The sequence below is a fragment of the Homo sapiens genome, chromosome 18 (genome assembly GCF_000001405.40).
Source record: "Homo sapiens chromosome 18, GRCh38.p14 Primary Assembly".
Classification (NCBI taxonomy): Eukaryota; Metazoa; Chordata; class Mammalia; order Primates; family Hominidae; genus Homo; species Homo sapiens.
In genome coordinates this window covers 36,897,135-36,925,093 of record NC_000018.10, presented here as the reverse complement: position 1 = coordinate 36,925,093, position 27,959 = coordinate 36,897,135, and the positions used below count along the sequence as shown (strand labels likewise).

At 35.2% G+C, this 27,959-nt stretch overlaps 1 protein-coding gene and 1 long non-coding RNA gene across 20 annotated transcripts in view; one reads left to right on the top strand and one right to left on the bottom strand.

Annotated features, from left to right (window-relative positions):
• Positions 1-27,959, bottom strand: part of KIAA1328 — a 403,046-nt gene that overhangs the window by 307,079 nt on the left and 68,008 nt on the right. The window contains exon 1 of one of the 19 annotated variants that reach the window (XM_017025881.2): positions 52-27,889. The exons of the other annotated variants lie outside the window; for them this stretch is intronic. The gene's annotated coding sequence lies outside the window, so the exon portion shown is untranslated. Of the gene's footprint in view, positions 1-51; positions 27,890-27,959 lie in introns of those variants that run through there. 19 annotated transcript variants of the gene reach the window in all.
• Positions 1,280-23,149, top strand: LOC105372069 (uncharacterized). The gene is made up of 4 exons (NR_134585.1): positions 1,280-1,320; positions 3,887-4,033; positions 21,406-21,483; positions 22,727-23,149. It is a non-coding gene; the product is annotated as an uncharacterized LOC105372069 (long non-coding RNA).

Here is a 27,959-nt window from a genome sequence, read left to right as displayed (position 1 = left end):
AAAAACACCATGGTGTATTATCATTTTACATATGAAACAAATATAACTTACAGGTCTGAAGGCCGTATCAGTTCTCCCAAAGGGTACGCCCAATGACCCTTTACAAATTCACCTCAGCATGAAGGTCTGAATTTGCTTGGTGTTTCAGGATACTACACTTCTGAAAGGTCCCAAATGACTTCCTGTTCAACAAATCCAATATATGCTTATGGTTCTTTTATATGACTTCTCTGGACCAGCAACCCTCCTTGAAATGTTATCTTCTTTGGGTTCTTTTGGGAACCACTCTTTATTTTTTTTTCTCTAGTTACTCATTTTCATTCTTATTCTAAGGTCCTATCTTTCTATACCTAATAAATATTGGGGTGTGTCCTTGGCTTTGATCTGTACATGCTGCATATTCTCTCTGGGCAATCTTATCCAAATTCAAAGCTTCAAAAAGCCAACTATATTCTGGTGATGCCCAAAAGCACATATCTGATCCTGAGTTTTACCAACTCCAGACTCTTAATTAAATTGGGCCTATCTTTAAAGATAATGTGGCCAAATGTATAGTCATACTCGTTTTCTCTTTTCAAAGTCTGCTTTTCCCCACATAAGTCCTATCTTGTCTCTATATGCTCAATCCAGAAATCAGGGTCATTCAGATTCTGTTAGCTCCCACATCAAATCCTCCTATCTTTTTTTCCTCTAAATAGCATTCAAATGTCTCCTTCCTTATATGCTCATTGCCTCATTATAGCTTAGTCCTTACCACCACTCTCATCTGGACAACTTGGCTGTTAGAGAGTGAGCTCCTGAATACTGATTTCACCCCTCAAATCTACCTTTTATCCTGCCCCCAGAAATATTATTTCAAAATATTATTTCAAAACATTATATTGAGTATAATATTCCAAAATATTATACTCAAAATCAGATCAACTCACCAGCATCTACCTTCACTAATCAAAACCAAACAAACACAAATCAGATCAACTTACCCTACCAGCATCTACCGTCACTAACCAAAACCAAAAATCACCTCTCTACCCTAGCTGGTGTCCCCTAGGGTAAATCCAAACACCATTGCCACTGAAGACACTCAATGGTTTGGAATCAGTTTGCCCTTCCAGCATAATTCCCTTCCAACTTGCCTTTGCAACTTCCATCTCACCATTGCAACCTACACTCTCATCAAATCAGAACTCCTGAAGTTTCCTAAACACATTATGATGGCTCTGTCCAGTAGAACTTTGTTGATGTGAATGTTCTTTATGTTCTACATAATACCAGTCACATGTAGGTAAATGATAACTTAAAATGTGGCAAATGTAACAGGTACAAAATTTATTTTACTGAATTATAATTAATTTAAATTTAAATTGTCACATATAGCTAGTGGTCACCATACTATACAGTGTAGCTCTATGCTTGGTATTTCTGTGTATCTTGGGATATGTCTGTCTGTCTAGAATGTTCTTTTCTTTACACTTCGCTTGCTGGTTTTTAACTACAAATACAATTTCTTTAATGATATACAAATCAACTTATCTATTTATCCCTTTCATGTAAATTGTAAAGCTTATATGTATAAAGTTACTTATAATAATCCCCTTTTTTTAAGATCTATAGAATCTGTAGAGATGAGACCTCTGTCATTCCTAATTTGGTAATTTGTCTTCTCTCTTCTTTTGACTGATTAATATGACAGAATTTTAACAATGTTATTATCTTCTCAAATAGCCAGGTTGGCTTCATTGTCTCTATTGCTTTTCTGTTGTTTGTTTCATTGATTTCCTCCATGATCCTTATTATAATCCTGTAAACTTCTGGTTTCATTTGTTTTGCTTTTACTAGTTTAAGGTGAAAGCTGATTTTACTGATTTGGGACCTTTCTTCTTTTCTAATGTAGGATTTCAGTGGTAAAATTTCCCTTTAAGTACTGCTTTAGATACATCTAAGTAATTTTAGCAGGTTGTGTTGTGTTTTCATTTTCATTTAGTTCAAAATACTCTCTAATTTCACTCTGGATTTCTTCTTTGATGTATGAAGTCAAGAAGTGAAAAGTAAGAAAAAATTAAAGGAAAAAATCAATCATAAACATCTTCAATACTTATTGACATGGAGGAATACTATATATAATATTAAAGTGTATCAATATATTGTAATACCTTGCAAACATTACCTATTGCAATACTTTAATAACAAAAGGCACCAAGACTCTTCTCAAGGCAGTACGTAAAATGACCCCCAAATAATCCCTACTACGAAAAAAAATTCTAACCTAAGTAACTTGAAAAATGAAACTCGAATATCTCATATACTCATTACCTCAACACTTGTGTTCCCCATTAAATACTAAATGATCCACCTTCTTTAGACTTCTGTTGAGTTAAAAAGTTTTTTATTTTAAAAAGCTACTCATAAAACGAAAGAAAAAATTATCTGTCCAGGTCTAAATATAAACATTTTTAGTAACCAATTCAGAATGGCATTCATAGGCCAGCCAAGTAAATCAGAATCAACAACAAAAAAAGCATCCTACAATAAAACCACACAAACCCCTGTGGCAAAATATAAACAAACTTTTCAATAACTGAACCAGAAAGAATGTTTAATATGATGGATTCTTCAAAAAATTTCCCATGATGATGTGGGAATACCCAAATATAAAATCTATTATTGAAAAAAATCAGCATATCAACTACATGCTTCAGTTAAAGAGCCAGAACAAGTTGCCAACTGAGAGATGGTATTGGGGAAGGTGGATAGACATGTTTGAATCAAGTTCAAGTACGGAACCATACACAAAATAAAAGGAAGACAAGGCAGAGCCTACCTACTTAAGAATTGTGTGGTCAAGAGGGAGACAACTACATTCTAGACACAGCAAACAAAGACAACGGCATTAATACTTGGAAAAACCTAAGAATAGTATTAAATGCTATTCCTATCCTGCTAAAATCTAGGTAATCTTCAAGAGAAAATTAAAAGGGAGTGCCATGACTTGACTAGCTACATATAGGTTGTCTTTGTTTAAAAAAAAAAAAAGTATTCTCTGGAGGCTGAGGCAGGAGAATTGCTTGAAGCTGGGAGGTGGAGGTTGCAGTGAGCCACGATCGTGCCATTGCACTCTGGCCTGGGGGACAAGAGCGAGACTCTGTCTCAAAAAAAAAAATATTTTCAAAAATTCCCAAACCACTTCTGAAATAAGTACTTTAAAATATGAGAATAAGGGAAAGCAAGTACTAGGGGTGGGTTCTTAGAATAAAACACAACCATAACTAGGGAGCTTGACAAAATTCAGTAACTGATATGAATCTTGGAAGATTCTGATAGTGAAGAGAATGAACCACACAAGTCATAGTAAATCTGTAAGTTGGATGTCTGTTAAAAATGTAAAGAAAAGGCCGGGCACAGTGGCTCACGCCTGTATTCCCAGCACTTTGGGAGGCTGAGGTGGGTGGATCACGAGGTCAGGTGATCGAGACCATCCTGGCTAACACAGTGAAACCCCGTCTCTACTAAAAATACAAAAAAATTAGCTCGGTGTGGTGGTGGGCGCCTGTAGTCCCAGCTACTTGGGAGGCTGAGGCAGAGGAATGGCGTGAACCCGGGAGGTGGAGCTTACAGTGAGCCGATATGACGCCACTGCATTCCAGCCTGGGTGACAAAGCGAGACTCCATCTCAAAAACAAACAAACAAATAATAAGTAAAGAAAAGTATAACTCCTAATTTTATAGGCTATTTTTCTTCTCTAATTCATCTTCTGTTGTTAATTTATGAAATTTAAAATCAAAGATGGCTTAAAGTAAAAATATATCTAGAATTTCATTCAACCTGACCTACAAAAAAAAAAAAATAACCCTCTGGTAATGATGACCATAAATACTGTCTTTTCAGGAGCTTCTGCTTCCACCCAAGATGAATAAATTGGGACAAGAATTGTCCTCATGCTATAAACAACTAGAAAAATGAAAAAAAAATGTATGAAACAACAGTTCCAGATGTTGGAGAAAGGACAGAGGAGGATATGCTGCCAGAGAAAAGGTAAAAAAATTGGGTGACTCGATCATCCCAGCTTGTTGCCTAAAGGCAGTTGCCAGGCCACAGCACAGTGAAAGGAAATACTAACGGAACCTGGTGGTCTTGCTGAGTTACGCAGAGAGACTGGCATGCATGGAAGCTAAGGATGCTAGCTAGACTTCACAGGGCAGAGTACTAGAGAGGGGAAAGCTGCACAGAGAGCTCTGAGGGTCTGCAAAGGGATGCTCTCATCTTTGGCTGAGTATTAATCCATATACTTATGGAATGAAACACCTGTGGCCAATGAAAAAAAACACTGGAAAGCAGAAGGCTGAACAACTGCCAGAGTTCACACAGGGTCAAAACCAGGTAGCACTGTCATCAGCCAGAGTACAAAAACTATGTAATACACAAGATATTTGATAGGGTCCTCAGAGAGGCCATATCTTAGAAATGGGGCTAAATTAGCCCCAGGATAAAGGTTGACCTGGACACATTCTAATAAAGCTTTAATGCAAGACCCACATTGATTCCAAATGATTGTGTGAACAAAGACTAAACTTTGCAATCCTAAGCAAAAAGAGCAAAACCAGAGGCATCACACTACCTGACTTCAAACTATACTACAAGGCTATAGTAACCAAAATGGCACAGTACTGGCACAAAAAAAAAGACACATAGACCAATGGAACTGGATAGAGAACACAGAAATAAAGCTGTACACTTACAACCTCTAATCTTCCACAATGTTGACAATAATAAGCAATGGGGAAAGGACTCTCTATTCAATAAATGGTGTTGGGATAACTGCCTAGCCACATGCAGGAGAATGAACCTAGGCCCCTGCCTTCTACCATATACAAAAATTAACTCAAGATGGATTAAAGACTTATAAGATCTCAAACTATAAAAATCCTAGATAAAAACCTAGGAAATACCATTCTGGATATTGGCGTTGGCATAAAAATTATGACCGAGTTCCTACAAGCAACTGCAACAAAAACAAAAATTGACAAGTGGGACCACTGCCCAGCAAAAGAAACTATCAACAGAGTAAATAAATAACCTACAGAACGGGTGAAGATATTCATAAACTGTGCATCTAACAAAGGTCTAATATCTAGAATCTATAAGGAACTTAAGAAGTTAAACAAGCAAAAGCCAAATAACCCCATTTTTAAAAATGGGCAAAGGACATGAACAGACACTTCTCAAAGGAAAACAAAGATGCAGCCAACAAATATATTTTAAAAAGTTCAACATCACTAATCATTAGAGAAATGCAAATCAAAACCATGAGGTATCATTTCACTCTAGTCAGAATGGCTATCAATAAAAATAAAAAATAAAAGATGTTGGTGAGGTTGTGGAGAAAAGGGAATGCTTATACACTGCTGGTGGGAATGTAAATTAGTTCAGCCACTGTGGAAAGCAGTTTGGAGATTTATCAAAGAACTTAAAGTAAAGAACTACCACTCGACCCAGCAATCCCATTACTGGGTATATACCCAAAAGAAAATAAATCGTTCTAACAAAAAGACATGTACTTGCAACACTCTATGTTCCTCGCAACACTATTCACAGTAGCAAAGACATGGAATCAACAGTGGACTGGATAAAGAAAATGTGGTACTTAAGTATAACAGACTAAGAACTCATGATCACAAGGCAGGAATTGTTAGACTGTATAAAAAAGCAAGACCAACCCCCATAAAATACACACACACATACATACAGCAAGATGTAACTATATGCTGTCTATAAGAGATACACTGAAAATAAAACAGACAAGTTGCAAGTATAGAGAATGAAACTAGACATACTGTACAAACAATAACCATAAGAGAGTTTTGTGACCATATTACTATCAAACAAAATGGATTTCATGAGAAGTATTAACAAGTATGGAGGAAAATTTCATGATGATAAAATAGATCATATATGTATAATAATAATAAAGGAATAAAACCCTAGTAACATTGTTTCAAATGACACTATCAAGTACCTTAATGCAACTGACAATTAAATTTAGAAAGCCCTACCCCAACAGCTGTAAAATATACATTATTTTCAAGTGCACAGAGAATATTCATCAAGATACACTACATACTGGGCCATAACACAAGTTTCACTAAATTTTAAAAGGCTAAAATTATACAGAGTATCTAAACACAAAGAAATGTTAATAACAGTAAAAAATCAGTAACAATATACTTCAGAATAACTCATATCAAAGAAGGAATAAATTATGTTAAAATAATTTAAACTGAATGATAATGCAAATATAGTACTTCATAATTTGTGAGATACAGCTAAAGCAAAGCTTAAATGGATATTTATATCTTCAAATGCTTATTAAAAATATAGAAAGGCCGGGCGCAGTGGCTCACGCATGTAATCCCAGCACTTTGGGAGGCCAAGGCAGGAGGATCACTTGAGGTCAGGAGTTCAAAACCAGCCTGGCCCACATGGTGAAACCCCGTCTCTACTAAAAATACAAAACAGTTAGCCAGGCATGGTGGTGCGCACCTGTAATCACAGCTACTTGGGAGGCTGAGGCAGGAGAACTGCTTGAACCCAAGAGGCGGAGGTTGCAGTGAGCCAAGATTGCACCACTGCACTCTAGCCTGGCCGACACAGCAAGACTCCGTCTCAAAAAAAAAAAAAAAAAGGCTTAAAAACAATGATCTTCATTTGCATCTTAAGTTGCTAGAAAAAGATGAGCAAATTAAGCCCAAAGTAAATGGAAGGAAGGAAATAAATACTAGAGCAGATATCAAGAAAATAAAAAACAAACATGAAGGAAAAGTAAGAACGTCAAAAGAAGGCTTTTTGAATATAAATAAAACTGATAATACTCTGCAAGACTGATGGAAAAGGGGAAAAATCAGAGACTGATTGGATACAAAAAAGGGGGGGAATATTTATTACCAATATAAGGCAAAAAGAGGATGTGTTACTACAGATATGACACAAATCAAAAGAAAAATAACAGGAGTCCAACTTCCTGTAATGATGAAGTCGTCTCACAATATTTGAACCAATCCTCCCATAGAAAACAACTTAGAGCTCTAGACATAAAAACTCTTAAAAAAAACAAAAACAAAAAAAAACACACAACTGTCTAAAATCGCTGGAGATGAGCCAGAAACAGGAAAAATGGGAGGGGAGGTGCCAACTAGAAGGGACTGACAGTGGGTGAATTTTTCATTCTTATGACTTTTTGCCTGAGTGTAGGCCTCAGTCAATCCTGAGCAGAAAGGCTAAATCTCAGATAAAAACAGTCTTATCTGTTGTTAAATCAGAAAACAGAGTTAAGGATGACAATGTCAGATGGAAACTGAGGTGGGATATTGAAGGAAGGAGAAAGGAACTGCACAAATCCTATATATTAAATTCTGTCTAAATCTCTGTCTGGCATATACATACACAGAGAAGTCTCCAGGCAGCTCAGTTAGGACTAAATGAACTAATAAAAAATTTCAGCTACTGCCCAATTTCAGAAAACAAGAGTTTGGAGTTTGAATTCAGGCAAAACAAAACAAAGTTCAAAACTCTTCAGAGGCCTGACACTGTGGTTTGAGCCTATAATCACAGCTACTCAGGAGACTGAGGCAGGAGGATTGTCTGAGGCCACAAGTTCAAGACCGACCTGAGCAACATAGTGAGACCCCATCTCTAAAAAGAAAAAAAATTTTAAGTAGCTGGGTGTGGTGGCACACAGCTGTAGTCCCAGATACTTGGGAAGCTGGGGAAGGAGGATTGCTTGAGCTGCCAGGGTGACATAGCAAGACCCTGCCTCTTAACAAACAAGACAAAACAAAACAAAAAAAACCTCTTCAGAGGACTACAACAGAATATAAACTGTCTACAATATGTCATTCATAATATGGAGGAGATATTCCAAATTACAAGAAAACATGACCCATGAAGGAAATCAATGGAAATGAAAGACTTTGTTATAAAAATGCTCTGACCTTCCAACCATTCTAGAAGGAGGATGTTATGAGCAGGGATTTTTTATTCTCATTATTTTTAACCCAGTGGACTCTGATGCTAAGATTTTTTTTGTTTTTGCTTTTTTAACCTAGGGAATTTTGTTTTGTTTTGTTTTTAATAGTGGACCTTTTGACTCCATCACTTTTCTTTAAAAAAAAAAAAAAATGAAGTGAGCTGGGTACAGTGGCAGATGCCTATAGTCTCAGCTACTTGAGAGGTTGAGGTGGGAGGATTACTTGAGCCCAGGAATTTAAGGCCAGCAAGGGCAACATAGCGAGACTCTGTCTCTAAACAAACAAACAAATAAAAAATGGCAGCTGTTTTAACAAATACGTAAGAAACCACATTCATTAACTGCTGTCAGGAAAGAATTTTCCTCTCTGTGCCTCCTTACTTATCTGTACGATGGAGATGATAATAGCTCCTGACCCACATGTAAGGATTAAATGGGTTTATTTCTATAAATTGCTTAGGACAATGACTGGTACAAGTGATCAGTAAATGGTAGCAGCATTTAAAAAATAAAAAACAACAACAAAAATGACCCAGATTTTGGAGTTATCTAAAAGAGATTAAAAGTAGCTACTATAATTATATTCATAAAGAATAAACAGATGAAGAAAATCTGAACAGAAAAAGAAAAACTATAAAAATAACAAAATGGATACTTTTAAATCGAAAAATTCAATATCTGAAATGAAAAATTTCACTGAAAAAGCTTCTAAAAAGAAAACTGGAGATGTCAGAAGATTGAGTCAGTGAGCTTTAAGACAGATCAATATGCATCATCTAATCTAAGAAACAGAAAGACAAAGGATTTTAAAAATAAACAGATTCAATGAATTTTGCAACAATATTAGCAGGTACATATATATATAAATTGGAATCCCAGTGTGAGAAAAGCAAAATAAAAAGTTGGAAAATATACTGCAAGAAATAATGGCTGAAATTACCCCAAATAGTTGAAAGATATAAATGTTTATGTTCAAAAAGCTCAGTGAACCTCACAAAGAAAACAAAACTACATTTAGAAACATACATTGAAAAGACAACACATTACACATGAGTGAAAAATGATGTGATAAATTCTAATGGGACACACTTATCAGAAACAGTGGCTCTACCTGTTTGTATTCACCCACTCACTGAAAGACATTTGAGTTGTTTTCATTGTTGGCAATTATGCATAGTGCTGCTATATACATGTTTCTAGAGTATGTTGTGTGATCATAACTTTTCATTTCTGTAGGATGAATGCCTAGGAGTGGGATTGCTGAGTCAAAAAATAAGCTTAACTTTTATAAGAAACTGCCAAATGTTTTATTAAAATGCCATGCCATTTTGTATATGTATACCATGAGCAACATATGAGAATTTCAGTTCCCCTGCATCCCTGACAGTATTTAATATTGTCAATATTGTTTTTTACTTTACCTATTCTAGAAGGTGTGTAAGATAATACTATCTCATTGTAGTTTTCATTTGCATTTCCCTAATGAGTAAAGATGTTGGACATGTTTTCATGTGTTTATTGCCGTACTATGCTGTCCTTGGTGAAGTGTCACTTAAAACCTTTGCCTTTTTGTTAGATTGTTTTCTTATTGTTGAGTTTTCAGACTTCTTTAGATATTCTGAATATACCTCTGGATATTAATTTGCAAAATTCTTTTTCCCCAACCTACGGGAGAATAGTTTTTTTCCCCATTCTCTTTAACAGTATCTTTCAAAGATAAAACTAAAATCCAATTAATCATGTTTTTTCTTTTATGTATCATACTTTTGGTTTCATATCAGAAAATATTCCATAAGCCAGGTCACCACTGCAACTTTGTCAAAACCACTGACCATATTTGCATGGGTCCAGTTCTGGAATCTCAGTTTTGCTCCATTAATCTATGGATCTGTCCTTTCACCAGTACTGTACTGGATTACTGTAGTGTTACAGTATGCCTTACAATTGGTTAGTGTGAGTTTTCTAACTTTTTTCATCTTTTAAAAAAGTGTTTTAGCATTCTAGCTCCTTTAACTTTCCATAAAGATTTTAGAATCATCTTGTGAATAGCTGCAAAGAATCTTGCTAGGATTTTGATTGGGATCTCCTTACCAATCCAGGATAATTAACATCTTCACTATGTTGAATCTTCTACTCCATGAATGTAGTCAATCTGTTCATTTCTTTCATAAGTATTTTGTAGCTTTCAGCATACAGATTCTCTGTATATTTAATACCTGTTTCATTTTGAGGTAAAGTATCATAAATGGTGCTATTTTTAAAATTTCAGTTTCCAATTTTTCCTTGTGATAGATATTTGTATGTTTTTCTTAGATCCTGTAATATATATATTTTTTTATCTAACTTTTTAAATGAGACAGAGTTTCCCTCTTTTGCCCAGGCTGGAGTGCAGTGGCATGATCTCGGCTCACTGCAACCTCTGCCTTCTGGTTTCAAGCAATTCTCCTGCCTCAGCCTCCCAAGTAGCTGGGATTACAGGCACCCGCCACTGCGCCTGGCTAATGTTTGTATTTTTAGTAGAGATGGGATTTCACCATGTTGGCCAAGCTGGTCTTGAACTCCTGACCTTGTGATCCCCCCACCTCAGCCTCCCAAAGTGCTGGAATTACAGGCATGAGCCACCACGCCCGGCCCTGGATCCTGTAATATTATTAAACTCACTTACTTCTGGGAGGTTTTCTTATTTTTGTTTTATAAAATTCCTTGAGGTTTTTATTAAGATAATCAAAACTTAAAGCTAATACCTAATCCTCTTCTCCCACCAGGTCCAAGATTTTCTGCTGTCTTATCACAGCGCCTTCCCTTATGGAACACATGTTTATATGCTATGGCACACAAAAAAGAGATAGATTTAGCTGAGCAGGCTTTGTTTCTTGCATTTCTTCACTCCATCTGTATTATATTTACAGATAGTATGGTAGGAAAATGAAAAACTAAAGTGGCCACACAAATCGCCCTAAGAATTTGTTATTATGAGCCTTCCTTCTTGTATATTTTCAGGTAAAATTTATACCACTTAGATGGTACAAGATGACAATCTAGATTACAGAGATTACCACATGACAGCATCCACAAAGTACATGAAAAAAACTCAAATCTACTTTGGATAAACCTACCTTAATCACAAGCCTCAAAAAATTCCAAAAGATAAAATCACAAAGCACACAAGCAACTGATGGTCAAAAACTCAGTAAAAACACAGGAAAACACTGATGGTGACCCTTCTTCAGATTCCACTTCTGACACCATTTGTCAACTTAAGTAACAGAAAGAGGCTCAATAAAAGAAAATTATATTTATTTGGGAATAGGGCATTGCAATGGAAATACACATGCCATTGTAAACTATGTGCATATTCACAGAGGTAAAGGAAAAAAGATTTTTAAAGGGAAAATGAGCAGGATTACATAATTGTTTGGAGACAATAATCCTTGGCTACAAGGATCAATAACAAGGATGACTATTAGTCCAAGGTTGGGCAGGCAGTTGCTTTCCTCTAAGTAGTGTGTGTGTGTGTGTGTGTGTGTGTAGGCAGTTGCTTTCCTCTAAGTGTGTGTGTGTGTGTGTGTGTGTGTGTGTGTGTGTGTGTGTGTAAGGTTGTAATTGCCTTTGTACATCCAGGAAAGATTTATGGAAGAGCCTCTTATCAAAAAAAAAATGAATCCCCAACATACACAGAAAATCTACAAGGTTCTTAAAAAATTTTTTTTTTTTTTTGTAGAGACAAGGTCTTACTATGTTGCTCAAGCTGGTCTCAAACTCCTGGCCTCAAGTGATCCTCCCACCTTGGCTTCTCAAAGCACTGGGATTACAGGCATGAGCCACTGTACTAGGCCCCAAAAGTTCTTCAGAACATTACATAAACAGAAACACTGCCAGTTTAAATTGAAAGGGGGAAAGAGAAGACAAAATTTTAAACAAAATTTCAAAAAAGACTCTCAGACTCCCAAAATACCACAGGCAGGAAACAGGCTGATGAAACTGCTCAGCCACAAACATGTGCCACCTTTCATGAAAAAGGAAGGATGATCTAAAGGGCAGAGCCCTGAGCCCACAAGTGTGGACCCTCAAATCACAGAGGATGTTTTTCCCAGGCTGGATTATGAAATTGACTAAAACAGGTAACTCCATTTCTCCTTCTATTTTCTCCTTTTTTGAACGGGAATGTTTATAATTGCTATCCCATCGTTGCCCCACCATTTTGGGAGCAAATAACCTGTCTGAATTTCAGAATTTCACAGATAGATAGGAACTGTACCTTAGGAAAGATCATTCTCAGACTCTCACCCATGCCTAATCTAGATGATTGAGTTCATACGGTTCGAAACTTTTGAGCTGATAAGATTTAAAAGAGATTTTGGACTTTGAAATGATGCTGCAATGGGAATGCAGCATTAGACTTTGGGAATGTTGGGATGGGGTGAATATATTTTGCATGTAGAACAGACATAAATCTCTGGGGGCCAGAAGGCAGACTGTGGTAGGCAGGCGGAGTAACGGTACACCCACAGATGTCCACATCCTAATCCCCAAAACCTGCAAATATGTTACATTACTTGGCAAAAGGGACTTTGCAGATGTGATTAAATTAGGAATGAGAAGATTATCTGGGTAAGCCCAATGTAATTACAGGAGTCCTTATAATAGAGAAGAAAAAGAGAGTCAGAAAAGGAGATGTGATGATGTTAGATGTTGAAGTGATACAGAGCCAGGAGCCAAGGAATATGGGCAGCCTGAAGAAGAGACAGAAAGGAATTTTCAAAACAGACTTCTTCCCTAGAGCCTCCAGAAGGGTAACAGTCCTGCTGACACCTTGATTTTAACCCATTGAGATTGATTTTGGATTTCTGACCTCCAGAACTGTAAGATAAGAATTTCTTTTGTGTTAGGCCACTAAATTTGTGGTAATTGATACTGTAATAGGAAGTGAATACATATACTTTCAAGAATGCATATAAACAGAAAATTTTAACTTGAAGATTAACAGAGATTTGAAGGGGAAAAGGGTGTTTCAAGGTCTTAGCAATAATCAACTAAAGAATATTAAAATTTAAAATGTATAGAACTATGGAGAAAGAATAAGTATTTTTTTCTCACTCAGTAAAGCCTTCAAAAATTGCTTAGATTTTCCTATTCCCAGTAAAATATTTAACAGTAACAGTAATAATTATAATAATGATAATGTCAAGGAGCTCTTTCTGACTGCTTATGCCACACCAGGCACTGTGCTAAGCCTTTACATGCATTTGTTACAGCATATAATCTCAACTGTATAAGGTCGAAGCTGTTACATATCCACAGACCATAAAGGGATAAATTGTGGCTTTAAAAAGTAATTTGATCAGGTTCATGCAGCTAAAAAGGAATATATACTTGCGTTGAATCTAAGTAGGTCTTGTACTTTTTTCCAGCACTATACTACATGGCTTCATAGTATGTTTTTCACTGAGTCTGTGTTTCTTGTCTCAATGCTTTAGAAAGCAGATGGCTTACTCTGTAAGAAAGTAAAGTAGTTTAAAAAAGCAGGTACTCTACATGGAATGCTTTTGTACAAGGTTACACTGAGGTAGTAGAAAGTTAAACCTAAAGAGAAAATAGAAATCTGGTTAATTGATATATAACCAAGGTCTGTTTTTATTTAAACACTCATTAGTATTCTCTCCTGCCTCGGAAAGCTAAGTATTTTAGAGTAAAGAATGTCATGCCTTTTGATGGCTAACAAGAATTCATAGTCACAATTCGAATTCCTAATTAGAGTATTCTCATAGAAGAGGTAGAATAACAGGCTAAAAATGCCAAGACCTTAGGAATCACTGTAAGGTGATTCTAGTAATTTTTATAAACTAAACCTAGGCATTAGTTTACTGTCTTATAAAGTTATCTTTTCATCATAAGATAGTATATAAAACTAAGAGGGCTTTTGGTAGATCTGGGCAGCCTCCAGCATAAGGCTAATTTTCCCTCAGAATTTCTGCCAAACGGAGGATGCAAAAGGGAAGAGGGTAAAATGTAATCTGTGGGTCGTCAGTCAGGAAAGCCACCATTGGAGAGTAGTAGTGATTGAAAGGAGGTACAAGGGGAGCTTTGGGGTACTGATAATATATAGCACATATCTACAGTGGGCAGCTAGGAGGTGGATTAGTTTCAGACTCTTCATTCTTTTCCTGAGTATATTTCTCATGACGATGACAGAAAAGCAAGAGGGCAAGCAGAAACACTCAATGCCTCCTGTTAAAGCACAGGTTTAAAAAGGAGAACTACAAACCACTGCTCAACGAAATAAAAGAGGACATAAACAAATAGAAGAACATTCCATGCTCATGGATAGGAAGAATCAATATCATGAAAATGGCCATACTGCCCAAGGTGATTTACAGATTTAATGCCATCCCCAACAAGCTACCAATTACTTTCTTCACAGAATTAGAAAAAACTACTTTAAAGTTCATATGGAACCAAAAAAAGAGCCCACATTGCCAAGACAATCTTAAGCAAAAAGAACAAAGCTGGAGGCATCACGCTACCTGACTTCAAACTATACTATAAGGCCACAGTAACCCAAACAGCATGGTACTGGTACCAAAACAGAAATATAGACCAATGGAACAGAACAGAGGCCTCAGAAATAATACCACACATCTACAACTATCTGATCTTTGACAAACCTGAAAAAAACAAGAAATGGGGAAAGGATTCCCTATTTAATAAATGATGCTGGGAAAACTGGCTAGCCATATGTAGAAAGCTGAAACTGGATCCCTTCCTTACACTTTATACAAAAATTAATTCAAGATGGATTAAAGACTTAAATGTTAGACCTAAAACCATAAAAACCCTAGAAGAAAACCTAGGCAATACCATTCAGGACATAGGCATGGGCAAGGACTTCATGTCGAAAACACCAAAAGCAACGGCAACAAAAGCCAAAATTGACAAATGGGATCTAATTAAACTAAGGAGCTTCTGCACAGCAAAAGAAACTACCATCAGAGTGAACAGGCAACCTACAGAAAATTTCTGCAATCTACTCATCTGACGAAGGGCTAATATCCAGAATCTACAAAGAACTCAAACAAATTTACACAAAAAAAACAACCCCATCAAAAAGTGGGTGAAGGATATGAACAGACACTTCTCAAAAGAAGACATTTATGCAGCCAACAGACACATGAAAAAATGCTCATCATCACTAGCCATCAGAGAAATGCAAATCAAAGCCACAACAAGATACCATCTCACACCAGTTAGAATGGCGATCATTAAAGTCAGGAAACAACAGGTGCTGGAGAGTATGTGAAGAAATAGGAACACTTTTACACTGTTGGTGGGACTGTAAACTGGTTCAACCATTGTGGAACACAGTGTGGCGATTCCTCAAGGATCTAGAACTAGAAATATCATTTGACCCTGCCAACCCATTACTGGGTATATACCCAAAGGATTATAAATCATGCTGCTATAAAGACACATGCACACATATGTTTACTGTGGCACTATTCACAATAGCAAAGACTTGGAACCAACCCAAATGTCCAACAATGATAGACTGGATTAAGAAAATGCAGCACATACACACCCATGGAATACTATGCAGCCATAAAAAAGGATGAGTTCATGTCCTTTGTAGGGACATGGATGAAGCTGGAAACCATCATTCTCAGCAAACTATCGCAGGGACAAAAAAACCAAACACCACATGTTCTCATTCATAGGTGGGAATTGAACAATGAGAACACGTGGACACAAGAAGGGGAACATCACACAACGGGGCCTGTCGTGGGGTGGGGGGAGGCGGGAGGGATAGCATTAGGAGATATACCTAATGTAAATGACGAGTTAATGGGTGCAGCACATCAACATGGCACATGTATACATATGTAACAAACCTGCACATTGTGCACATATACCCTAGAACTTGAAGTATAATAATAAAAAAAAGCATATTAGCTATCACTTCAGCTTTATTCTATTTGGTCAGAGTAAGTTATACTCAAAGTCAACAGAAGGGTAAATATATGAATCTTCAAAGCCATGTGGAAAATTTGATATAGGAAGCAGAAAAAGAACTGGGACCAAATGTACCACATAGACTCTGATTCAATTCTGGCACTACTAAGTAAGCCTAGGATAAGAAAGCTTACTCCAATTTGGCTTTGAAAACAGGGATTCTTCTGTGAACTTAAATTATAAATAATGTTCATTTCATAATGCTGTACATTATAAAAAGGGGGAGAACTGCTCAATTAACATAATTTATTGTAAATAATTCACAATTTTATGTTTGTATACAAATAATAGGTAATATATATTCTGGATTCACACAGCTGCAAATTCTGCTCTGCAATCCTAGATAAATATATTCACACTGGTCACACAGTCTCCCAAGTTAGTTTGCAATAACATGGTAATAATTAGCTATTAAAAATCTTCATGGGCCAGGTGCGGTAGCTCACACCCATAATCCCAGCACGTTGAGAGGCCGAAGGGGATACTGCTTGAGCTCAAAAGTTCAATCAGCCTGGGCAACACAGTGAGACCTTTCTTTCCACACACACAAAAATTTAAATTAGCCAGGTGTGGTGACACGCAACTGTAGTCCTATCTACTTGGGAGGCTGAGGCGAGAGGATTGCTTGAGCGAGTGAGCTAGAGTTGCAGTGAGCTATGATTGTGCCACTGCACTCCAGTCTAGGTGACAAAGCAAGACCCAGTCATGAAAACAAAAAAAATTTTATATGTTCCAGATAGCTGAATTGTCTGTAAGTTGCTAAAATAAATAAAAATAAATTACTTTAGCGTCTTAAGAACAATGTCTCCCTCTAGTCAACTACAGGACACAAAGCTTAAGAAATGACAAACAGCAACTCCTCCATAAGAAGAAAACAACTAAGTTTTATGCATTCCTTTTTTAAGTTAGAAAGAAATTTGCTGTTTTTATTGCAAGTTAGTTAAAACTGATATAATTTAACGAGCCAATTCAGTTAATTCTTAAATTCCTGTATTACTCCAACTTGAGACATATAAATAAAGACAATGATAAAATTTTAAAAATTCCTTGAAAGACAAACTACCAAAGCTTACTCAAGAAAAATTGGGTAATCTGAGTGGTTCCATATGGATTAAATCCATACAAGGCCTGTAAGAAATCGAATTTGTAGTTAAAAATGCTTCCATTAGAAAGGGGAAAAAACTCACTCCAGGCTCAGAGAGTTTCTTAGTAAATTTTAACACGAATTTAAGAGAAAAGATTAAACTCATTCTATACAAACTCTTGCAGGAAATTGAAGAGGGGGAAATGCTTCACAACTCATTCCTTCAGGCCAGCACTATGATGCTACAAAACTAGATGAAGTCATTCCAAGAAAACTAATGACTGTCTCTCATTAAGCAAAAATTCTTAACAATATATTAACTAATAAAATCCAGTAACACATAAAAGGATAACATTTCAATATCAAGTGGGCTTCAGCCCAGAAATGCAAAGCTGGTTAATATTCAAAAATTAATCATCAGCAAAACTATATGATCAGATCAATTTACACAAAAAAAGCTTTCAAGAAAATTCAACATCCACTTGTAACCAAAAAGTATCAGCACACTAGGAATAGAAAAGAACTTCCTTAATCTAAATAAAGGTATCTATGTTAAACTTATAGCTAAAAATCATACTTAATGGTAAGAGAGTAATTTGCTTTTCCACTAAGATCCAGAACAAGAAGAGGATGCCCTTTACCACAGCTTTTACTCAACATTGTACTGGAAATTCTAGTTAGTGCAACAAGGCAAGAAAAAGAAATAAAAAGCATACAGATTAGAAAGGAAAAGATGAAACTGTCCTTATTTACAGATAACACAATTGCTCACATAAAAACTGCAAAGAATCTACAAAAAAAACCTCATAAAACTAAAAAGTGACTTTAGCAGTCATTGGACACAAGATCAACATAGAAAAGTCAACTTTATTCCTTTATACCAGGAATGAAAATTTGGGGTCTGAAATCTTCAAAAAATACAAAGAAAAGTAGATAAAATATGACAACAGACGTACGGTCTGCAAGCAGAAAACTACAAAACACTCACAGAAGAAACTTCTTACATCTAAATAACTTGAGAGATGTACCACATTCATGAATTGCAAAGTTCAATATTAAATCCAATTCTCCCTAATTGATATATATATTCAACACAATCTCAATCAAAATTTTACAGCATCTTACAAAGCTAAACACAGTGTTACCACACACTTCTGCTATCATGCTCCTAGGTATTTACCTAACTGATTGGAAAACTTATGTCCACACAAAAACTTGCACATGAATGTTTACAGTAGCTCTTTCATAATTACCAAAAGCCAAAAGCAACCAAGATGTGCTTTAATAAATGAGTGCATTATTATTACACACTGCATGCTTATATCAAAATATCTCATGTACCCCATAAATATATATATCTACTAATGTACCACAAAAATTAAAAATTAATAAAAGTAGAATAGCAAACTATGGTATATCCATATAATGGACTATTATTCACTCTTAAAAACAAATGAAATATTAGGCAATGAAAAAATATAGACGAATTTTAAATGCATATTGCTAAGTTTAAAAAGCCAGTCTGAAAAGGCTAAATACTGCATGATTCCACTTATATAGCATTCTGCAAAAGGCAAAAACTATACAGATTCCAAATAAATCAGAAGTTGACTGAGGCTTGGGGAGAAGGCAGAGTTAAATAGGTGAAGCATAGAATATATTGTAAGGTGGTAGATTAGTTCTGTATGATACTGTATGGTGAATACATAACACTTTGTATTTGTTAAAACACAATTTTGCTGCAAAAAAGTGAATCTTAGTGTAGGAAAATATTTTAAAAATCATTTAGGAGATTGGAGGATTCTAAGGTGGAATACAAACTACTAGCTATATTACAAATGTATGTAATAACCTCATTGAAAGAGGGGAGGAAAGCTGTTGACCTAAGTTAACTTTAAAAAGTGAATGGTGATAGTAAGACTAAAGGTAGAAGGAAGTATACATTAGCACTGTAGTTTATAAGTTGTTTCCCATGTAAATATGAGTTAATAATTCTAAAATCACTATAAACCTATACTGGCACTGAGCAATTAAATAGATGGCAGAAGTTGGGAGGCAGGGTTCTCACTGAATGAGAAGTTACAGACAAGAAAGGCAAGAAAGCTAAAATAATCCATGTCTAAATTAATTGGCATTGAAGACATCAATCTGAGCTCATGTTTAGCTGCCAACTTAACACTCTGGTCATCAATCTCCATCTGCCATCATGATAATGTGAGCACTTGTCAGCACTATGAGATGTTGCCCAATAATTTCCAGATATGGAAGACAGTGGATGGGCTGTATCTGGAGGCAAAAAGGAAGGTGGTCAGTAGAACAAAGGGTAACTCAGTTCATTGGTAGAAATGACAGTATAATGACAGTGGAGCAACATTTTTTTAAAAATTGAACAGAAAAGTACAACTTGCAAAATAAAGACGTTTTTGTAAATTCAAAAGCAATGAATTCATAGCTACAATAACTATTAATGAAAGTCTGCCAGACAGAAGGAATAACAAAAATGTGGACTATACAAAGTCATGCAGAGCACAGGAAGTAAATTTATTTTCCTTATTTAAATATCCTTACAAGGCCAGGCATGGTGGGTCACGCCTGTAATCCCAGCACTTCAGGAGACCGAAGCAGGCAAATCACTTGAGGTCAGGAATTCAAGACCAGCCTGGCCAACACGATGAAACTCATCTCTACTAAAAACATAAAACTTAGCCATGCCATGGTGGTGTATGCCTCTAGTCCCAGCTATTTGGGAGGCTGAAGCAGGAAAATCACTTGAATCCGGGAGGCGGAGGTTGCAGTGAGCCAAGATCATGCCACTGCACTCCAGCCTGGTCAACAGAGCAAGACTCCGTCTCAATAAATAAATAAATAAATAAATAAATAAATAAATAAATAAATAAATATCTCCTTACAAGATAATTATTTAACAAAAATAAAAATAAAATACGGGTATAAAATTAAAATGTATCTTGATAATAGCACAATGATCAGAAAGAGAAAAATAGTATTATACTATCATAAAGTAGCTAAAGTAGTATAAGCCATCACTGGAAGGTTAATTGATTTGTTAAAGGTGTATAGATACGCCTTACAGCAACCACTAAATACAGAACAGAGCCATAGCTAATAAGCCAACAAAAGAGATAAAATAGAAAATTTTAAATATTCAATTGATCCAAAAGAACACAGAAAAAAAGGAAAAGAGGAACAAAGGTCAAATGGAACAAACTAAAACAAACTCAAACCTAACTGTATCAAGAATCAAATAAAATGTAAGTGTTCTAAATATCCAAATTAAAAGTATAGATGTCAGATTGGAATAAAAAGCAAGAACCATGTATGATCTGGCTATAAAAAATGCACATTAAATACAAAGGCACAATTAGTTTAAAAGTTATAGCATATAAAAAGATACACTATAATAACACTGATCAGAAGCTAGAGTAGGTCAATAAACTTTAGGTAATGTAGATTTTAGGGCAAAGAATATTACCAGGAATAAACAAGGTAATTTCATAATGATAAAGGGGTGAATTCATTAGGAGAAGATAATAATCTCAAACTTTGTGCATCTAAAAATGGAATTTCAAAATATAAGAAGACAAAACTGTGAAGAGAAATAGATAAATCCACAAATATATTACACTCAGAGATATTAATACCCCTTTCTCAATAACTGATACAACAAGTAGGTGAAAATCAATATGCATATAGAAGCTTTGAACCACACTTCTGACAATTTCAGGATAATCCACTTCCATTAATATTATGCTATGTTAATATAGCAGCAAATATAATGCTATGATAATAACGGTAATAATAGCAGCAATATACATGTTAATAGAATAGACTCCACATCCCATCATCATCCAAAGCTACAAATTTGTGAGATCTTAGAAAAGAAAGCAAAAGCAAAAGGATATATTTCTCTACTGCCCATGTCTTTTACATTGTTTTTTCCAAGAAATGAGTACAAACAATGCTTCAATGTACAGATCACCTGGGGATCTTATTAAAACACAGATTCTGAAAAAGTGAAGTCTGGCATGAGGCCTAAGCATCTGTATTTCTAACAAGCTCCCCATATTGTTGGTGATGCTGACATTGCAAACCCATAGACTATGCTTGTAATAGCAAGGAACTAGAAGATGGGAGGAAAAAGAGTAAAGATGCCAGGGTCACTTTAGCTTTGCACACCTCTGGAGAGTCAATGACAGAAAATAAATAACACTTTTTGAATGATTCTAATGTGCTTAGTCATGGTACAAAGCATTTAATACTCATTCTTTCATTTAGTCTCCACAGTAAACCTGCTGGAATGAATACTATTATTTACTCCTCATTTTGCAGAGAAGAAACTGGAATTTTAGCGAGGTCAGTGATTTGCACACAATACAGAGTTCTCTACCTGCCTTAGCAGAGCACAGGTGTTTGAAGCACTAAATGAACTCCATGGAAATTTTCTATTCCCAACATTTCCCCTAAAGTCACCTCAATTTTACATTTCCCTTTCTTTTCAGTCCTTCTGCCCTTCCCCACTGGAAAGACCTAATCATTTAACCACAAAACTGAGCAGAGAACTTTCGCAATTGAACTGGCAAGAATTATTTTAAATACATGGCATTAAACTTCTCTTGGCTGATTTTTTCCATTGTATTTTAAACAGATATTTAATATTCTGCCTTTAATAAAATAAAATTGGTACAAAATTCAAGGCAAGAGATCTGAAAACTTCAACTTTCACTGTAATGTCAAACGAGACCTACTGTTATTCATCTAGCTGTTACAGTGATGATTAAATGAAAAACATGAATATACCACACACACTGATGATTTGGGAATGAAGCAATATTCTATATTATTCTAAAATATTCCATGATAAACATGTATTTTTTTAAAGTCAGGAAAACACAGGTTAAAATTTTTTAATTGAATAAGGCATTAATTATTAAGTAGCCCCTAAGCTCCCATGTCCTTAAATACTAGCACTAGGCATAGAGTTAAGGAAAGATTAACAGATATATATTTGTAAATATCTCCAGAAGCTACAGAATTCTAAGGGTAATTATCCTAACAATGGAAAAAATAAAGAAAATACATTTGGTGAAAAATCAAATATTCAAATTAAAGTTTCAGTGAAAAGATGCAACACAGAGGATGCCAAAGAGTCCCCACAGCCTTGTAGAATAGGTGGAGCTCAGGCATTTAAGGGTGCTGGAGCTTTATTTCTAAGCACTTTCATCATCTCTAAAAAAGAGGTGGTAATTGTGTTTCCCTGGTTATAAAAGAGGAAATAAATATAACCAAGCAGGTAAAGTTCTCCCAATTGTTTGATATCTTATGGATAATACCTGACTTTGTCTAGAATATTTAACTTTACAAAAAACATACAGAGAAGCTGTCATAAAACATAATGTAGAATTATTTTTTCCTCTGAGGTCAAGGATTGAAAACCAGTGGCATAGCACTTAAAACACACCTCCTTTGCTGTCTTGAAGGTGGTAAAGTGTTACAGCAACAGAGATATTCAGGGACAAGTTGTTAGACTAAATATCACGGCACGTTAATACTAAAAAGGCAAATGAAATTTTCATTTAAATGTTAAACTTTTTTCCAGAAAAAGAAGAAATCTGTAAAGGGAGAAAAAATGTAAATGGTATTTTTTGGTGACAGAATGCGTTTCTTCAGCTTTGTGGCAAACTGCCCCTACCACCACCCCTCCAGCAAAAAAAAATTGTTGGTGAAGAACGCAATCACAAATAGCTTTATAAAGAGATGAAAATATTGCCTCACTTCTAAGTGAGGCTGGATTTTCAGAATTTTTTTTTTTGCAACTTTCATATGATGTCCGGTCTGGCAACACATGTGGCAAAAATGAAGGCTACATTTTTCCCTAGATAGAAGAGCACATCCAATGTTTCCAACATGATAGTTCAGAAGATTCAACAACTGTGAAAAGTGCTAATCTCAGACCATTTTAAGAGATTATAGAGAAAAAAATGAAAAATCTGGAATAAAAATAAACAGCTATGAAACTCCACCTCTATAGTAGTTTCTTCAAAATCCTTATCATATTTCTTGCCTGGCAACTCCTCAAGAAACAGAAGTCACTGCAAAAATTATGTTGCCTCCTGACCTGTTAAGCCAAATAACACTTCTATCCAAATAATCCTTTTATGCTGTATCAGTTTTATGCTATATCAGTTCTAACATATTTTTAGCAAGTAATTTGGGGCAGGAACTCCTCTCAAAGCTGCTTCTTTACCCAATCTTTCTAGACTGCCAACCTTGCATTTTGAACTGTGCAGACTCAGCTATAGCACTGCAGGTCCATTAAGAGTCAATAGTAAAATGCCGCCCTGAGCTGTCAGACATAAGAAAGGAAAAGGTCCACAAAGACCAAAAACTGGCAGTGACTTCATGTTCACTGTCTCACTGCCAAAAAGATCTGAATCAACTCTCAAAACAATTCTTTAGTTGGTGGTTCTTGTTTAAAATTTTCCAGACATCTGACTGACAGCATTCACAAAAGCATCCACAAGTGTTGGAGAAACAAAAGCTAATAGTGCACATGGACAAGCTGATAGTGCTCCAAAAGGCAGAGAGTTTTGCCATAAATCTATCCTTCCACATTAGTTCTGCTGTCACATTTGACATGCCTCCCCCACCAAGTGACTCATAATTTTACAATACACATTTTTTAAATGTAAACAAAAAGCTAAGATGCCCAAGAACATTAACATAACAGCTTCCACCATAAGGTATTACAATCAGGGTTAAGTGACTAAAGAAACAAAAATATAGAGAATACTTTAAGAACTAACACTGTGGCCCGACATATTCAAAGCCACTGAAAAACTCGCATCTCAAGATCAACATTTCAGAAGCAGAACTCTAAATATTCATAAGGAACATGATATTTATCAAGATTCACCTCTTCATTCAAGACAACAAAACCAAACCTAGTCAGGTATATAGTTATTCATAATGAAGCATTTTGAAGAGACAACCAGATTATAACATTTAACCGTGGAAGTTTTATTTCATAAACCCATTTATATAGAGACAGGCTCTGTATCTAAAAGTGTGGATTTTTTAAAATTTCCTTTGCCATTTAGGGGATGGAAAAGCATCCCTGATTTGTATATTAAAGCACAAGCATCTGTCCTACTGATGATATTCTAGGGAAGCACATTAGCATAAAATTTAACGATGTCAAATAAGTGGATGTGAAATAGGGACTGCGTAAAGACACTATTTCCAAGGCTGACAGAAACATCACTGTTTAGAAATGCAAATGAAACCATTATGTTCAATAATTATATGAAAATATGAACAGTTCAGCATGTTTTCCAGCCCTGATGGCGGTTAATGGGATGTACGCTTATGTAAATAACTACTATTAAAACTAATGCTGAAAAAAACTAATAAATTCATACTAAAGCAACTGATTTAGTATGCTCTTAAACACCAGCAGTGCTCACTTATTAGAAAAGAGTGCATTATTATGTTTAGAACTCATTACTGCTACAAGTCACTGCAACTCCATCAATTACCATGCATTAATGAAAATGGGACACATACAAAAAAAATTATTGCCTCTCAGCAGTTTTCTTTGAAGACAAAATCTAGGGGCATTACCATCATGGGCCTTGTAGGGAACTTACCCACATGATAATCTTTATTACTAAAACAGTACTTCCAACACTATCATCTCAGGGTATTTTGATCATGAGAAGGGCTAACCTTTATGTAAAATTATCAACATTTTACAAGATTGACCATTTTAACACCAATAAGAAAATTTTAATATTTGAATTGCATCTCTAAAAACTTTTACTAACATATATTTGGCACATGGTTTGTTTTTTCGGAGAGAGGCTAAGAAATGAAAGTATATAGTGGTAATCATAACAGTGTAGATGATAGATGATTTCATTCCAAGAAACTGTCTAATATAACAGAAATCCCATTGTATTCTACACTTAAATCTCAGTGAATTCTGTGTAACTAAAGGATTTAATTTTTAAGAACAAGCATTAAATTTCATTCTTGGCCACAAGCTGGATTTTCTTGCAATATATTAAATATTAATACAAGATATTAAGAAGTTAAAAATTCTTGTTCTTTAAAATTAAAATTTAGCTAGCACCTTACAGCAAGAAAATGCTTACAGAGCAGGAATTCAAATATAGAAAATGTGCCTTTGCTCTTACTCTACTTCTGCCAACTTTCCCAATTTATTCTATTTCTTTAACATATGTAATTTAACTGATCCACTTCATTCTTTCCTAGCAGTCAGGAAAACAGAAAACATTTCAGCATCTTTTAAATGTGAAATATATGTGCTAAATCTCAAATGCAGTCCAGATACATATCATGAGTATATGTATATTTTTAAATTATAATTGCCACGTCAGTCCAATCATTTGCAGTTTTAGCTCACATGCTTATTCACCTCCTGAGAAGCTTTTATTGCAATTTAGATATACTATCACCAGGTGGCAGTAGAGTGTCAGATTATGCAGATTCAGCACTAACGGGCAAGTTTTCTCTTGAGTCAGATCTTTTCTGATCAAGCAACTCTGATTTAATAATTCATTCACGTAACATGTATTTATTTACTGACTACATACTGAGCATAAGGTAGTGTATTAGAATCTCAGTATACAATAGTGTACAAGACAGAAATAATGCCTTATGAAGGAAACAGACAATAAACATATACTAAAAGTCAAGTGCTATAAATAATCAGTGTCCATTCATGATTAGTAAAAGCAAAAAAACAAGAACAAAAATTCTTGGCAAACTAAGAGTAAAAGAGAAATTATTCAATGGGATATAAAAGGCATCTACCAAAACCCAAAAACCCACAGGTGACATCAAACTTAAAGATGAAATATGTATTTCTTCCTGAGATACAGAACAAGATGAAGATGTTCTCTTCTCATCACTTCCAGTTAATACCTAATTGGAGGTGTTGCAAGAAGGCAAGAAAAACAAATAAAGGGCATAAAGATTTAAAAGAACTAAAATTATTTTCATTTGCAGATGACACGACTGCAAATAAAATCCTAAGAAATGTGTAAAGCAACTATTAGAATTAATAAGTGAGAATTTAGCAAGGTCAAAAGATATAAAATCAACATACAAAACTTAATTGTGTTTTTAAGTTCAACAATGGAAAAACAAAATTAAAATCAAAGTTAGAACAAACTTTCCAAAATTAACAGACTCTGTTCTGCTGACTAGAATTGCAAATCATGGTGAAGCTTGAAATGCCAAGACTTTAAAAAAGTGTGGCTCCCTATAATCTGCGGCGTCACTATACCAGCCTAAAATTGCTGGCAGCAGATGAGTTTTATATGAATAAGAAATAAACATATATCTTTTTTTGAATACTGTCACTTTGGCCTTTCCTGTTATCTGTGCAAGGAAGATTGATCCTGATATAGTTTCATAAAACATTCTCAAGTTGGTTCCATCTAATCAGAGCCTTCTCAGCTTGATTTCTGCATTATTTTCCTTGAGATCTCTTCTATGCCTTGTCAGAACACATGATGCTAAGACTCTTTAGCAATTCCTAGCTGACTTATTTTTAGCAACAAACATCCTTACAACTGCTTCAGAAAATTAAAAGGGATGCTCCTCAAATAATCAAAAAAACTTTTTGCTTCAAAAAGCATATTATCTTTTCAAAAACCAGAAAGCTAGTTACTTTTCAGGCAACAGAAATCTGAATGAGGACTCTAAAGGCAAAACAACAAAAATCTTCAAATAGAAGATAACATCTGAAATAAAAGATAACATTTGAAAGATATATATCAAATATGTCTTCACATCCACTTTTTATGCTGTAAATTTTTTCAGGCCAAGAAAATATTTTATCATCTTTATATTTTCATAGAACTTCATAATTCTAAAACAGTTACATATTTTGGATCATTTGATAAACCTGTGTGATAAATAGTTCAGTTTCCAAAATACTATTGGCTTCTTATTTCATTGAGATAAATCATATTTGAGACATCAATTTGTAATTAACTAAAGATTTACCAATAGGGCTTTCCATATAATTTTTTTAAATTTAATAAGTGGGGGAAAAAGCTGCCTTAGCAATACATCAAATTACTTCTCTGCCATGCCAAGCTACTATATAACGTTATACAAAGAATATACTTCTAAATGTTGTGACATCTCTAAATGATTAAGCTCACTATCATATTAAAGCCTCCTCTCACCCCATTTTCCTCTATACTGCTGAACTAGTCCTTGTGGTTTTAGCCTGTCTCACTGATGCCTTGGGAATATTATAGTAAGACAGAGGTGGCTACTTGGAAACTTTTCTCTGAACTCACTAATAACTATTCTCTTGTGTCACCATATCATAGGCTGTCCTTATTGTCAACTTTTCTCCCATGCAAATTTCTCACTAGGGCAATTACTATATCCAACCTCCATTTCTGTTGGTTTTATCTCTCTCTCTCATCTTCTTTTCTCCTTTGCCTCTTGACACTTTTCCTGTGTTTATCAGTTTTTGTGTGAAACAAAGTCTCATAGATACAACCAAAAAAATAAACACACACATTATAACAACTATTTGAAAAACTGACCGGTTTAATTGAAACCCAGCATTATCTTTAGATGCCTGGATTTTCCAGGCCACATTTATTTACAAATTCAAAAACTGCTTGGGGATGTTCTGATGGAAGAATTCTTTCTCCATTTGGCTCTGCTCTTCATAAGCCTGAGGGTTCAAGAAAATAAGATGCTCAATAGCCTGGGATTCTGTATTAAGAAAAGATAATAAAACTGGGGGAAGATGATAATCCTTACCATCTTCCATAGGA